The sequence below is a fragment of the Homo sapiens genome, chromosome 19, assembly GCF_000001405.40.
Source record: "Homo sapiens chromosome 19, GRCh38.p14 Primary Assembly".
NCBI lineage: Eukaryota > Metazoa > Chordata > Mammalia > Primates > Hominidae > Homo > Homo sapiens.
In genome coordinates, this window is record NC_000019.10 from 33,758,141 (window position 1) to 33,773,966 (window position 15,826).

The 15,826-nt window shown below is 55.4% G+C and overlaps 1 protein-coding gene across 6 annotated transcripts in view, besides 1 other annotated feature; it reads left to right on the top strand.

Annotated features, from left to right (window-relative positions):
• The window catches only part of CHST8 (carbohydrate sulfotransferase 8), a 151,557-nt gene extending 136,188 nt beyond the window's left edge, over positions 1 to 15,369 (top strand). For 4 of the 6 annotated variants that reach the window (NM_022467.3, XM_011527224.1, XM_011527222.1 and 1 more), the window contains 2 exons: positions 13,273 to 13,310; positions 13,817 to 15,369. In NM_022467.3, the coding sequence (NP_071912.2) occupies positions 13,273 to 13,310; positions 13,817 to 14,923 (1,145 nt within the window). In that variant the 3' untranslated portion in view covers positions 14,924 to 15,369. The remainder of the gene's footprint in view (positions 1 to 13,272; positions 13,311 to 13,816) is intronic. The other 2 variants (NM_001127895.2, NM_001127896.2) reach the window with 1 other exon arrangement.
• Positions 5,207 to 5,811: an enhancer, noted in NCBI's record as "H3K27ac-H3K4me1 hESC enhancer chr19:34254252-34254856 (GRCh37/hg19 assembly coordinates)". NCBI's record gives its function as "activates a minimal SCP1, AML or CMV promoter by ChIP-STARR-seq in naive H9 embryonic stem cells {active_cell/tissue: H9 hESC(naive)}" and the evidence as "EXISTENCE:reporter gene assay evidence [ECO:0000049][PMID:30033119]".

Below are 15,826 nucleotides of genomic sequence, written 5' to 3' on the forward strand. Positions count from 1 at the left end.
GGGGGCACACAGGATGACCCCTCAGCTGCAGCTGCCCCTCGGTGTTCCCTGAGATGCCAGAGAGAAGACACTGGAGATGTTGGTGTAGGGGTGGGGGTGGGCCTGGAACTGTAGCTGCCCATTCACTGTGCTTGAGTCAGGGCCGTCACCCAGACTCCGGGACCCCTGTGGGTACAGTCAGTGACCATCAGTGCTCAGCCGTCTGGGAGCTCTTCCAAGGATCAGAGCACCCATCCCTGAGCCCCTAGGCAGCCCTTTGCAGTCTGGAGCCCCACTCTCCCCAGGGTGTCTGCAGAGCCCCACCCAGGCCAGAGCGGCCTGCAGTGGGGGTCACTTCAAAGAAGCATCACTTAAGACAGATTCACTTTTGTGGCTCTTTAGGGTATCACAGCAACAGCTGTGACAGGCTTGACAGCTCCAGGCCAGCTCGGTAATTGACGTGGCAGCCAGAACAATGCATCCCAAGGCCGGCTGGAGCTGGACCGATCATTTTCTTGCAGCTGGGCCACAGTGGTAATGAGGCTGCCGTCCTGGCTGCCTGACTCCATTCCAGGGTGAAGAAGGACATGCTGCCCACGTCTGCCCCTGGAGGGCCTGTCTCAGGGCTGGGCCAGTGGGTAGGGAGCACTTTTCCTGTAAACAGGCATGTGTCAGCACATTCTTGCACTGCTATAAATAAATACCTGAGACTGGGCAGTTTATAAAGAAAAGAGGTTTCATTGGCTCACGGCTCTGCAGGCTGGACAGGAAGTGTGGCCCCAGCATCCACTTGGTTTCTTGGCGGGGGGGGGCGGTGCTCAAAGAGCTTTTACTCATGGCAGCGGGCAAGCGGGAGTGTGCGTGTCACCTGGTGAAAGCAGGAACAAAGGGTGAGACTTGGGGGCAGGCGGTGCCACACTTCACAACAACCAGATCTCATGAGAATTCATTCACTATTACAGGGATGGCACCAAGCCATGAAGGATCCCCCCATGAGCCAAACACCCCCCACCAGGACCCACCCCCAACACTGGGGATCACACTTCAACATGAGATTTGGGCGGGGACGAATGTCCAAACTACATCAAGACAGCCCCTTTATGGGGCCACCCCAGCCTCGGGCTCCAGCCTGACTCACTTGCTTCTATTTGCTGGTAACCCCACAATGGGAATTCACCATTATTTAGACCAAATGAGGTGCCTTCCTGCAGAGCTGGCTGCAGAGTGGTCACCACGTGCCATGTCAGCCAGACAAGAGGAGGCGTTGACATCCGTCCCATTTAACCCACCAGGCATGGTGCTGTGAGGTCACGGCTGCTGAGAGCCTGGGGTGGGATCCCGGTGGGCCCAGAAAATGGCAGCCTCCAGGCCCAGGCCCACTGCCTCTACCCCTCTTTCCCTGAGAAGTGCTGGTATCATGCCCCCACTGGCCCAGAAGAGCCACAGGTGGCTGAATGAGCTCCCACAGGCACGTCTGCCCCCCGCACCTCTGACCAGCCACCCCTGATCCCCTAATTCCCTCTCCTCCAACTGCCCTCTGGATGTCTGCACTTGGGAGACCTGTAGTCAGGTCTCCTCAAAGTCCACAGGGATCTGTCCTCCTGCGCAGGGAATAGCATCAGCATTCACCACTGCTAAAGTCAGAAGCCAGCGTCTCCCTCTGCAGTCAGCCAGTCCCAGGTCCTGCTGATGTAGTGGCGAGTTCAGGCCAACTTGTCCTGGCCCCCAAGGGCCCAGCCCCACATGACATCAGTAGTTTGAAATCTGCCATGATGGGATTTCAGACCACGGAAATCAGCAAACACTGCAAACCAGGCTGCTCCCCGCTCCCACCCCATCACCCAGAAAGTCAGGTGTTCAACATTTCCCAGCACACCTCCATCTCCCGAAATGTTCTTCAACTCTCCCTCCACTGTTTCATCATCCCCTGGGTCCAGGCCTCAAGAGTCTCCTGCCTGGATAGTGACAGCAATCCCCTGACCAACCTTTCTGCTGTATCTTTGACTCCATCTCAGAATGGTCCTTAAATTCAAAATAACTCCACACCCTAAAGCTCTTTGAGACTCTCCTGGGCCTTAGGAGGTAAGGTCTAGTGTCTTTGCATGGCTATAAAGCCTCTTTCTTGCCGGCCAGCCATCATGGTTGCCCTTCCTTCCTTCCCTCCTTCCTTCCCTCCCTTCCTCCCTTCTTCCTTCCTTTCTCTTTTCTTTTCTTTTGAGACAGGATCTCACTCTGTCACCCAGGCTGGAGTGCAGTGGTGCAATCATAGCTCACTGCAGCCTCTAACGCTTGGACTCAACTGATCCTCCCACCTTAGCCTTCTGAGCAGCTGGGACTACAGGTGCCCATCACTGTGCCCAGGCTAATTTTTTCATTTTTTTTTAGAGATGGGGTCTCACTATGTTGTCCAGGCTGGTCTTAAACTTCTGGCCTCAAGTAATCCATCCATCTTGGCCTCCAAAGCACTGGGATTAAAGGTGTAAACCACTGTACCTGGCCCTGCCTTTTCTTGACACTCTTCAGTCTCTGGACCCATCTCTTCATCCCAGGAGCCTTGCTTTCATGGTGGAAGGCCATGAAGCTCTGCCAGAAATGTCCTCATTACCCTCAGGTGCCAATTTATTGTCACGATCTTCAGGAGCTGTCACCTGCAACACTGAGCTAGCTAACATGTCAACTGTCCCACATTGCCTGCAAAGTCCTCCATGGCTGCCATCACACATGGAGTTGCTGGCCAGTGCCTCTCCTCCTTGCTAGACTGGAAGCTTCATGAGGGCAGGGGCCACACTATCCCATTCCTGGTTAAGACACTGTCATCAGTACCTAAGATGCTACTGGCCCGTATAGGTGCTCCATCAATGTGAAGTGAATGGATACATGGGGGCAGATGGCAGGATCATTCCGCGTGGTGTACTGCAAAGTGGAGGCCAGCCAGTTGGTCTTGCTGTCAACATCCCACGTGGGAAGCAGAGACAGGGCAAGCCAGGGAGCGACACTGGGTTGTGGGATAGGGCCACGCAGTTCGTTCTTTCCCATTTGCAGCAGCAACCACTAGCTCTGGCTTGTTCTTCCAGGCCCACATGTGTTGAAGGAAGACAAGCAGCCAGGCACGGTGGCTTATGCCTGTAATCCCACCACTTTGGGAGGCTGATGCAGGAGGATCGCTTGAGGCCAGGAGTTGCTGGGCAGCATAGTGAGACCTTGCCTCTATGAATTTTTTTTTTTTCTGAGACAGAGTCTCACTCTGTCATCCAGGCTGGAGTGCAGTGGCACAATCTCAGCTCACTGCAACCTCCACCTCCCAGGTTCAAGTAAGGCTCATGCCCCAGCCTCCTGAGTAGCTGGGATTACAGGTCTCCACCACCACACTGGCCAATTTTTGTATTTACTTAGTGGAGATGGGATTTCGTCATGTTGGCCAGGCTGGTCTTGAACTGCTGACCTCAGGTGATACACCCGCCTCAGCCTCCCAAAGTGCTGGGATTACAGGCATGAGCCAGCACACCTGGCCAAAATATACATATATATATATAGTATAAAAATATGTATATATGTATATATTTTTTTAATTAGCTGGGCTTGGTGGTGCACACCTGTAGTCCCAGCTACTTGGGAGGCTGAAGTGGGAGGATCACTTGAGCCCAGGAGTTCAGGATTATAGTGAGCCATGACCACGGCACTCCAGCATGGGCAACAGAATGAGACACTGTCTCAAAAAAGAAAGGAAGGAAGGAAGTGGGGGAGGGAGAGAGGGAAAGGATACATAAAGGAAAGAAGAGGCATGATCTGCTGTAAGCCATGTGCCATGGACTCCTAGAAACCACACAGGGATGTGCACACAACCACACACTCCCCACCCAGGGCACGCTACATCACACACACAGGAAGCAGGCACCTGTGCAGCACAAATGTGTGCTGTGGTGCATTTCCTCGGCATGCCTGGTGTGACAGACCATAGGACATGCACACCTGATCCCATGCGACATGCACATGTGTAAGGGGTGATGCAGTGGGTGGCGCGGGTGTGCTGGGGTCACACACACCCTGAACACTGTAGAGGTCACTGCAGGCTCTGACCGAGGGATGCTGAGAAGCAGGAGCTGAGGATCTCTCCCTGTAGACAGGCAGGGCACCAGCTCAGGACTCCCCTTCCCAACCCACTCAGTGATGGGCAGGTGGGTAGATGTGGCGCAGGCGGGACAGCCGTTGGGTTTGTAGACTGGCTGACCAGCTGACCGGCTGACTGACAGGCAGCTCTGATGCTCGACTCTCTGACAGCTCCAAGGGAATTCACGACCAAGGCTGAGCTGACAGGAACCACCCAGCTGAATCGTGGATCCTAATCACTAAGGCGAGGGAACAGAATCACTAAACGAAACAAGTGCGGTCAGAGCCGTCAGGCGCTCATCGGCCAGAGACAGGAAGATGCAGGCTCCGCTCCTCTGCAGATGCACCCCAGTGTCGCTGCGCTGGGGGCAGGAGCTGCGCTGCGGGAGATTCAGCCCCTGCAAAGGGAACCAGGTGATCAGCATGCCAGGAGCAGCTGACTTTCAACCAATGGGCTCTGGCTCTGCCCCGCTTTGTGTCCCATTTGGTGTGCACATTTGTGGATTTGCAAGATGCATATGTTTGGCACATTTTACCGATGAATTTTTAGCCCATTTTACCAATGAAACACGTTCAGCAAGGTCAAGGCACTTGTCCAAGGTCACACAGCAGTGGGTGTGTGCGCTCAGTTTTCTCTCTTTTTTTTTTTTTTTGAGATGGAGCCTTGCTCTGTCGCCCAGGCTGGAGTGCAGTGGCACGATCTCAGCTCACTGCAATCTCTAACCTCCACTTCCCAGGTTCAAGTGATTCTCCTGCCTCAGCCTCCAGAGTAGCTGAGATTACAGGCGCCCACCATCATGCCTGGCTAATTTTTGTATTTTTAGTAGAGACAGGGTTTCACCACGTTGGCCAAGTTCTTGACCTCAGATGATCTGCCCGCCTCAGTCTCCCAAAGTGCTAGAATTACAAGTGTAAGCCACCACGCCTGGCCTGTCTTCTAATTTTTGATGTGCTAAGCCTGCATTAAAAACTACAACTCCACATGGACCCTCCAGGGTGGTCCTCCGCGTGGTCCACAGAGGGAGGGAGTAAGCCTTTGCTCTGGTCTGAGCCAAAGGTCACTGTGACTGAGTTTGATCATCTCAGAGCCTAGGGGAAGAAGCCCCCCACCCAGAGGCCAAAGCTGGAGGAGAGAGGCCAATACATGACCAGTCTGATGCAGCTCTCCAGTGTGTCTGGCCTGACTGCTGCCTCCCCTCGAAGTCCACACTCTGACCACAGAGCTGTCATCAGGGCCCAGGAACAGCCGGCTCCTGTGCTGGGGCAGCCCTGCCACCTGGAACCCCACGTACCTGTCCCGTGTCCTAGGGCAGCAGGTGGCCGTGACTGTGACAGAGGCTGGTCTCCAGGCTGTGCCCTGGGGACCCAGCAGAGAATGTAAGAAGTTGGATTTTCCCATGAACACAGATGAGAATTGAAGCCCTTGGGTGAGGCTTTTTTCCGGGCGTTCTGTGCCCAGGAGTCCAGGCTGCCCGCTCATTGCTGCATGTGTTGAAACTTCAGTTTTGCATCTAATTTGCATATGAACAGCCTGCCTCAGATGGAGGATGCAGTTCACAGTGAGGCAGTCAGAGGCCCATGGGGACAATGTGTCCCTCAGCCCTGGGGCAGTGGAGACCTCACAAGGGCAGAGCCTGAGCCGGTGGGAGAGGAGCCAGAGAAGGTGTGGCCCGGTCCCAAAGCAGGCCCCGGCCTGGCATACTGTGGATGGTGAAAGGAGCTGGCAGAGCCAGTCTTCATGGCCACCCAGCCAGGGCTGGGGGTGGACAGACTCCTCCAGTGGGATTGCCCCTGTCTGCATCTAGCCAGGGGGCTGGCACCTGCTGCCCAGATGCGTGGGCCCTTCCCAGCTGGGAGGCTCCAGCCAGAACCCTGGGCCCAGCTTCTGGGAAGCCCCATACCCTTCCTCATGTCCAAGGCCAGCTCTCAGTCCAGAAAGCACCAGCCTTTCCACAGGCATTGATGGGCATTGTGCCAGAATGACACAGATGGACATGACACAGGCCCTGCCCCAAACACACCGAGAACCAACAACCCTTCACTACTGATCAGCAGGCGATCTAAACCAGCAGACGAGCTGTTTCTTCACCTCCTTCAGGCTATCCTGCCCTGTCTTCAGAACATCCAGCTGGGCGTGGTGGCTCATGGCTGTAATCCCAGCACTTTGCGAGGCCAAAGCGGGAGGATCATTTGAGCCCAGGAGTTCAAGACTGCAGTGAGCCAGGATTATGCCACTGCACTCCAGCCTGGGTGACTGAGCAAGACTTTGTCTCTTCAAACAACAAACAAAAAAACACTCTTAAAGCCCCATGAGATCACATGAGACCCTGTCTGTACTGGGTCAAATTGGGTGCCCGCCCCACCCTCAAAAAATGCTCAATCCCAGCTCCCTGTGCTTGTAAACTGTGACCTTGTAGGGTCTTTGCCGATGTAATCAAGTTAGGCCACTAGAGTGGGCCCTTTTTAAAAACATTTTATTTCCATAGGTTTCTGCGGAACAGGTGGTGTTTGATTACCTAAGTTCTTTAGTTAGCGGTGAATGGTGAGATTTTGATGTACCCATAACTGGAGCAGTGTACACTGCACACAATTTGTAGTTTTTTATCCTTCACCCCCTTCCCACCCTTTCCCCGAGTTCCCAAAATCCACTGTATCATTCTTATGCCTTCGCATCCTCATAGCTCAGCTCCCACTTATGAATGAGAACATACAATGTTTGGTTTTCCATTCCTGAGTTATTTCACTTAGAAAAATAGTCTCCAGTCTCACCCAGGTGGCTGCGAATGCCATTAATTCATTCCTTTTTATGGCTAAGTACTATTCCATCATATATATATATATATATATCAGAGTTTCTTTATCCACTCGTTGATTGATGGGCATTTGGGTTGGTTGAGTGGGCCCTATTTTAATATGACTGGTGTCCTTATAAGAAGAGGAGAAGAGACACACGTGTGCAACAGCTGTGTGAAGACGAAGCAGAGATTGATCTTCTGTTGTTGCAAGCCAAGGAACGCCTGGGCTGTCGAAAGCTGGAAGAGTCGAGGAAGCATCAGCCCGTACCCAAGAGGCAGTGGAGGGAGTGTGACCCTGCTGGCACCTTCATTTCAGACATCTAGCCTTCGGAACTGTGAGAGAACACATTTTTGTCATTTTAAGCCTCCCAGTTTGGGATACTTTGTTACAGCAGCTGCAGGAACAAACCAAAGCACCTCCCGTGATGGTTAATTATATACGTCACCTTGCCTAGGCCATGGTGCCACAGGGTTTAGACAAATGCCAGTCTTTGTGTGTGTGTGTGTGTGTGTGTGTGTGTGTGTGTGTGTGTCAGAGAGAGAGAGAGAGAGAGAGAGAGAGACGGAGTCTTACTCTGTTGCCAGGTTAGAGTGTAGTGGCGCGATCTCCGCTCACTGCAACCTCCACCTCCTGGGTTTAAGCGATTCTCCTGCCTCAGCCTTTCGAGTAGCTGGGATTACAGGCACACACCACCATGCCCAGCTAATTTTTGTGTTTTAGTAGAGACGAGGTTTCACCATGTTGGCCAGGATGGTCTTGATCTCTTGTGGTCTCGCGATCCACCTGCCGTAGCCTCCAAAGTGCTGGGATTACAGGTGTGAGCCACCACGCCCGGCCAGGAAGGCATTTTTTAGATGTGATTTGCTGTAAAATGTGTAGCCTTTGAGTAGAGGAAATGACCTTCCACAATGTGGGTGGGCTTCATCCAATTAGTTGTAGGCCTGAAGAGAAAAGAGTGAAGTTCCCCAAGTAGGAGGGAGTCTCGGACCTCCTTCCCATGCAAGCTGCGGCACCAGGTCTTCCCTGGGTCTCCGGCCTGCTGGCAGATTTTAGATTGCCAGCCCCCAGAATCACATGAGCCAGTTTCTTAAAATCAACCCGTCTCGCTCTCTCCTCTCTCTCTCTTCTTCTTCCTTTCCTCCTTCTCTCCTCTCCCTGTCTCGCTTCCCTCTCTCCTTCTCCCCTCCTCCACCTCTACCTCTCCCTTCCCTCTCTCTTTCTCTCCGTCTCTTTCCCGCCTCCATATATATCACCTGTGGGCTCTCTGTCTCTCTGATAACCCTAACTAGCATGCCACCCCCCCATTCAGAACCCTTCATACTTCCCATGGAGTGGAGCCTGGCATTTCCCTCAGGCCTCTCTCCCCCAACCCGCCCACCTTCTCTCCTGCCAGCACCCTGCACTCGGGGCAGGCCATCTGTAGCTCAGCACTGCACTGTGAGGTCAGGTGCGTGACCAGCTGTGGGGCTGCCCCAGGGCTCGGAGGCCTTTCTTGTGTGCACCTTAGGTGTGGGAGCTGCTTCTTCCTAATGGGGGCATGGAAGCAGCAGGGCAGAGGCCGGCAGCCTGGGCTGTCCGGGACAACAGTGTTCATCCCACCAGATGCCACTGTAAGGAGTCCAGGTGGAGCCGAAGCTCAGAATCCGGGTACTGCACGTGCTGAGGACCAAGATGCAGTCGGGACCTTGCCTTCAGGGAACTCCCCACCCCCAGTCGGGCCAGCCTGAGCCAAGAGAAGCAGCCAAAAGCCCTGGAGGCTCCCTGGCCTGTTGGGCAATGGAAGTGGACGTGGAGTGGACAGCGCCAATGGGTGTGGGGCAACCTGCCAGCAGACTCAGCCACCAGAAGCCCCGGGCACATGGAAACGCGGCCACACAAACGGCCCCATCAGGAAATCCCAAAAGACCAAGAAGCACGACTCAAACTCCACCACAGACAGGGACCTGGGACTGGCATGGCCGCTCCTGCCCTCCTTCCCCAGTTCTCTCCCATGCCTGTCCCTCTGCAGATTTGACTCTTTAAGGACAGTCGCAGTGATGGGAGTGGCGGGACACTAGCATCATCGCCCATCAGGGCTCGGGGCTGGGACATGAGCAGCCAATGCAGCCGTCATTCTCCCAAGAGTGAGCCACCTGGGGCTGGGGGAGGCCAAGGGCTCATTCGAGGCAGTTGGGTCCTGTCCTCACCTGTCAGTGCTGCCTGTCTACAGGGCCTGACCAAAAGGCTGCTCCCCAGTTACCACCCTCCATGGCTCCTGGGCAGTGGGGATTGGGGCTTTTGTGTGGCACCCTGCAGGTCTTCCTCCTGTGAGCCTAGAGAGGAGCGGGCAAGAGACCCTTCTCCTTGGACATGCTGGTATAGCCTCCTCCCCAACTCTGCCCCAAACCCAGGCCTGATGACTAAGAAACTGGCCTCACACACTCATCAGTCTCTGCCTCTCCTCAATCAGGAGGCTTTTCAGCTAAACGCTGAGAACTTCAGCCAATGAAGAGTTCACACTGTGGAACACATTTGGCAGTGCCCATAACTCACGCCTTGTTTATTCTCACCGATGCTCTTATCATAGCGCATGTGTTCCAGCCACTCCACGCATGTCATCTGTCCAGAAAGAGAAAGTGCTTGTTTATTTCTTACTGTGCGGGGGGATGGAGCTCCCTTACAGATTGTGAACCTTATATTGACAGGAGAAGAGAGGTAACTCAAGACACCGAAAGTGGGGTGTGCGTGGTTGGTCTTGGATTCTGTCGCAGGGGTGGAGGTGGGGAGGCAGGGAAGGTGCGTGGCAGCATTGGTGGCGTTGGATGGAAGAGGAGGTGGGTTGTGGCTGGAGTTGCTCTGCAAGGCCACTGATGTTATCTAGATTGTACGTTTTATTTGGGGGCTTGAGAGGGGCTGGAGGTGGTTATACTGAGGCCAAAACTCCTTCCCACCCATAAGTGCCCCCCACGGCACTGGTACCACTGACCCCTGGTGGCAAACCTTCCTCATCCTCGTGAGCCCTTAGCTGTACTTCCCTGAGCGCTGATGGAGCTGTCCAGGGTCCTGACGTGCAGCCCACTTGGGGATGTGCAGACCCCTGCCCCAGGATACCTAAGGTTTCTCCTGGTTTTCACTTGCCCAGAGCCAGCAGTGGTTTTTGCTTCAGCCTTTATCTGACTGGTGCATGGAAGAGCAGTTTTCTTCCTAGTGGGGACACTAGGTTCACGGCAAAGGGGAGGTCCCTTTAGATTTCCTTCATTACGTTTCTTCTTTATTCGAAAGTGAACTTGTAGCCAGGTATGGTGGCTCGCACCTATAATTCCAGCCCTTTGGGAGGCCGAGGCAGGAGGATTTCTTGAGGCCAGGTGTTTGAGACCAGCCTGGACAACATAGCAAGACCCCATCTCTAACTATTTCTAAAATAAATGTAAATTTTTTTTCTTTTTCTTTATTTTATTTTATTTTTTTGAGACAAAGTCTCACTCTGTTGCTCAGGCTGTAGTGCAGTGGTGTGATCTCAGCTCACTGCAATCTCTGCCTCCTGGGTTCAAGTAATTTTCATGTCTCAGCCTACTGAGTAGCTGGGATAACAGGCATGCACCACCACACCCAGCTAATTTTTTTGTATTTTTAGTAGAGATCGGGTTTCACTATATTGGCCAGGCTAGTCTCGAACTCCCGGACTCAAGTGATCAGCCCATCTCAGCCTCCCAAGTGCTGGGATGACAGGCATGAGCCACCGTGCCCGGCAGTAAATTTTTAAAAATGTTAAAGTGAGCTTGTGGGGATAGGTCTAATCTTTGCCTGATAAGCTGCCGTAAGTCTAAGGGTTGGGAATAGCTTATGGCAAACTCAGGCTCTACTTAAGATGTTACTGATCTCTCTTACTCTCCACAAGGCAATTTTTCCTTTCAAAGGAGGAAGTTGCAGGCAGGTTGGCTTTATGGACACATGTAAACAGGAAATCAGGAGACTCGCCCAGCCCCAGGCTTTGTCTAGAAGGAACTTTTCCTCTAGTTAATGCCAAGGGCTCTAGCTCAGCGAGCATTAGAGTGGGACAGCCCCAGAAGCTTAGGCTCAGAGTCCAGAGGTCCAGGAGACAGTGTCCCCCTGTCCAGTCCTCACAGGTAAAATGGAACAGGACCACAGCCCACTGCCCTCCGAGGCTGTGGGGACAGTGCCAGTGGGAGGTCATGGCCTCAGGGGCTGCAACCTCAACAAGCACATGGCCTTCCATCTTCCCCCCGACTGGCAGGATCCCTTTTGGAAGTGGCTTCTCAGCCCCACTCTTGGCCAAATCTGGCATGACTCATTTGCTTTAGAAAAGGAATATATAAGCACCGTCACACCTTGATGAGATGACAGGAGTGACAAGCAGAGTGATTTCCCATATCTGAGACTCTGAGGAGGAGAGGTGGTTTAGCAGAGCCAGCTGCCATAACCAGAAGAAAATAATTAAGGAAATCTGGCAGAGTAGAGGAAAACCAAGTGGTGCAGCGGGTCCCTTCTAGTGAAGGGAGCTGTCATCATCGGCTGCGGGAGAGAAAGGAGCTCTGGAGGCTCGTGCTGGGACAGCTGCAGTAATGATGGGATGGGGAAGAGGAGGGGGTGGCTGTCAAGGAGGGAAATAGACTCTGGGCATGGCAGGGGGTGGCAATGAGCAGCTTGATTCTAAAGACTCCTCTCTCAGGCCAGGCACCTGCTACTTACACCCCACACCCTGAAGGGTGCAGCCAGGTCTACTTGGAGCTTCCCCTCAGTCTCCAGGGAAGAGTCTAGAAGGCCTGTTTCAAAGATCCCCCACATGCACGCATGTGCACATAAGCTTGGGAGTGCCCAGGAAGATGGGGACACTCTGCCCTTTGCCCAGGGGAGAGCATACCCTTGTTCCCAGCCCAAAGGGACAAGCGGAAGAAAGATGAAATGTGTCCCAGTTCTGCCTGCATTTCTGCCTCTCTTGGGACTTGAGGAAGGTTCGGGCAAGCTCAGGGAATTCAGGCTGTCCATTCCAGGGCTGACCTTGCATCTCCTTCCTGGCCTGCTAATGACTGAAGGAGACGTGCGGGCACGGCCTCAGCCTTACATTGTCTGGGGCATGGCAGTGGCTGAGTCTGTAAAACTGGACCTCATGGAGAAATCCACAGAATCTCTGGCTCAGGGAAGACCTGGAGATCCCTTCACCAGCTGGGCTCCTGCCACTGGACCTCTGCCCAGGACGTGGAGACAGCCAGGAAAGTGGTGGGACACTGGAACCCCCCTCCCGCAGGCAGCAGCCAGGATTTGCTCAGGTGTGGTCGGGCATGGTGCCCCGGCGCGCCAGCCAGAAGATCCAGCTCTCTCCTTAAGGGATAGCTGGCTCTGATGGTGACCATGGCTTTTGGCAGAGCCTCAGGACGAAAATGTCCACCCACATGGTACTGGAGCAGAAAGAGCCCCTGATTCCTCGGTGGCCAGGTAGGGACTGGGGAAGGAGGCTCCAGCTTCTAAATAGATTCCCCCCAAAGGGAATCTCCTTGTCCTCCTGCGACTTTCCCCCAAAGCAGACCAAATGAGGTATGACACAGAATATTCTGCTCTGGCCAAAGGTTCACCTCACCAGAGCTTGCTTCTTAGGTGAGCCCAGCCCAGGCATGGGCCTCCTTGGTAGGCAGAGGGGGCGTTCCAGAGCATGGCCATTGATGCACTGGTCTCTCTGTGTCTTCCTGAGGTCATCAGTAAGTTAACGCTGGACAATTACCCTCTACCTGGGCGCTGCTTAGGGCTTTGGGGGAGACCAGGGCGAGCAAGATATGCTTAGCTCACCCCAGAACTCCAGAGCCAGCTGAGAAGGCCAAGATCACAAAGCAAATGCCCAGGTTAGGGAACTTCCTGTAGCAAGAGGAGAAGAAGCACGTTCCATTCCTAGGCCTGGTGTGTGCAAAGGTGTGGGTGTGAATCATATTCCAAGCATAGAGAATCCACAGTGGCCAGAACTGGGGCATGGCTGATGGGGTGTGGAGAGAGAGTGGATCGAGCTTTCTGAAGGGTCCTTTCCCTGTGACTTAATGACATGGTGGGGTGCAGGAGGAGGTGGCCTGTGAGAGTCCTGGCTGCTCCACAGGGCAGGTATGGGCACACCTGGGCAGGGTGCCTTTCCAGACCTTGTAGATCACATCAGGAGGCAGGCGTGATGCAGAGAAGAGAGCCTCAGCTGCGAGCCAGTGGGACCACATGTTTGCTGCGTCCCCATTTTCTGCATGGGTAGGGGATGGAGGGGCTCCAGCACTGAGCCATGCCCTAAGCTGCCTTTCCCTAGAGCCTACCCCAAGATCCCTCCAGCCTGGATGTCCACAGCCAGCAGCCCATAAGCAGTTCCCTGGGAGCCATGTGGCAGATCCGCTAATACTGTCCTCTCCTCTGTTTGCTTTTCAGGAATAAAGTTCAACATCAGGCCAAGGCAGCCCCACCACGTAAGTTCTGAGAGTCAGATAAATCTCAGTGCACACAGCCCTTGGGAAACTGGGGAGGGCTGGGAAGAAAATTAGGAGCTCACATTGGATCCATTCTTGGAAAGAAAAATGTGTCCAGCCTTTCCCAGGAGCCTTGGGAACAAAGCCCAGGGCTCTGGACCCATGAATTTTCCCTTCCTTGTTAGAAGGCTTCTTTGCACGGTGCTAATAGAGGCCGTAAATCTGAGCCCGCCTGCAGGCCACCTATTCCCGCCACCCTCTCCCAGGCCAGGTTCCTGGGAGGACCGCGCCATCTTGTGGCCGAAATGACACTTACACCTCAGCGGGAGGGAGGCCTTTGGGTGCCGGGCCAGGGCTCAGACCGGAGGGGTCTCACCTACAGAGTCAGCCTGTCTCCCTCACCTGAGAGGGACAGGAACCCCAGCCGTGGTGAGAGCCTGACCTGTGTGGCCCTCAGTGCCCAGCTGTCCTTTCCACTCAGATAACCACTTCTCTTCTTGCCCCAGGACCTCCCACCAGGCGGCTCCCAGGATGGTGACTTGAAGGAACCCACAGAGAGGGTCACTCGGGACTTATCCAGTGGGGCCCCGAGGGGCCGCAACCTGCCAGCGCCTGACCAGCCTCAACCCCCGCTGCAGAGGGGAACCCGTCTGCGGCTCCGCCAGCGCCGTCGCCGTCTGCTCATCAAGAAAATGCCAGCTGCGGCGACCATCCCGGCCAACAGCTCGGACGCGCCCTTCATCCGGCCGGGACCCGGGACGCTGGATGGCCGCTGGGTCAGCCTGCACCGGAGCCAGCAGGAGCGCAAGCGGGTGATGCAGGAGGCCTGCGCCAAGTACCGGGCGAGCAGCAGCCGCCGGGCCGTCACGCCCCGCCACGTGTCCCGTATCTTCGTGGAGGACCGCCACCGCGTGCTCTACTGCGAGGTGCCCAAGGCCGGCTGCTCCAATTGGAAGCGGGTGCTCATGGTGCTGGCCGGCCTGGCCTCGTCCACTGCCGACATCCAGCACAACACCGTCCACTATGGCAGCGCTCTCAAGCGCCTGGACACCTTCGACCGCCAGGGTATCTTGCACCGTCTCAGCACCTACACCAAGATGCTCTTTGTCCGCGAGCCCTTCGAGAGGCTGGTGTCCGCCTTCCGCGACAAGTTTGAGCACCCCAACAGCTACTATCACCCGGTCTTCGGCAAGGCCATCCTGGCCCGGTACCGCGCCAATGCCTCTCGGGAGGCCCTGCGGACCGGCTCTGGGGTGCGTTTTCCCGAGTTCGTCCAGTACCTGCTGGACGTGCACCGGCCCGTGGGGATGGACATTCACTGGGACCATGTCAGCCGGCTCTGCAGCCCCTGCCTCATCGACTACGATTTCGTAGGCAAGTTCGAGAGCATGGAGGACGATGCCAACTTCTTCCTGAGCCTCATCCGCGCGCCGCGGAACCTGACCTTCCCCCGGTTCAAGGACCGGCACTCGCAGGAGGCGCGGACCACAGCGAGGATCGCCCACCAGTACTTCGCCCAACTCTCGGCCCTGCAAAGGCAGCGCACCTACGACTTCTACTACATGGATTACCTGATGTTCAACTATTCCAAGCCCTTTGCAGATCTGTACTGAGGGGCGCCGCAGCTGGCCGGGGCCGCCCTGCCCCGGTCACTCACCTGTGCTCCCGGGCATCCTCCTGTCCCTGGCTCCTCATCCTGGGAGCAACAGGGCTCTGAGGACGTGAGGAGCCATCGCTGTGGGAGGCAGCAGGCCCCGGGTGGGGGGCAGAGGCGCCCAGCCTTGGATGGGGACCCCAGCCCCTGGCCTGTACCTGTTTCCTCATTCCTTGGCTGAGGGAGAGGCTGAGAACTGGGCAGACACCCCTGGAGCTCAGCCGACAGTTTTGATGAGCAGGGAAGTCTGAGGCCCAGAGGACGGGGGGCCCAGCGGTAAGGGATGTCCCGCACTCCCTTAGCCATTGCCTTGGACCAAACCACGTGGTTTGCAGCTTTTCTACGAGCCAGGGGGGAGGTTCCCTTGGATTAAGGTTCCAAATAAAGCACATGGTTTCCAGAGCAGCGGTGTGTACTCTGTGGTGGCGTGGGAGCACGTGGACCCTGGGCTGGGCTTTCTGGGGCTCTTTCTGCCTTCCCGGGGCAGCTTGAGCCAGGTGCTGCAGGCCCCACTGCAGAGAAGTCCAGTTCAGGAGCAGCTTCCTGGGAGAAGAGCACAGAGGACCCAGCGGCTCTCAGCCAGGACCTGCAGGCGTCTGAGGCTAGGTCCCAGTCAACTGGGGTGCTTCCGTCTCAGTCCTGGCACATTAATCCTGAAAGGAAAAGATAGGCCTGTTCCTATGGGGGCCTCCTGGGGTGTCTTCTTATCAGTGCACCTTGCAGGGGCCTCTGGGGACTGCCAGAGCAGTAGCCAGCTCTCCAGGCAAGCTGCCAATCAGGGCTGAGGCCGGAGCCAGGGGGCACGGGGCATGCATCTCGGTGGGTGTGGTACTCCCAGCAGGAAGCAAGGCTGTCCCTGGCT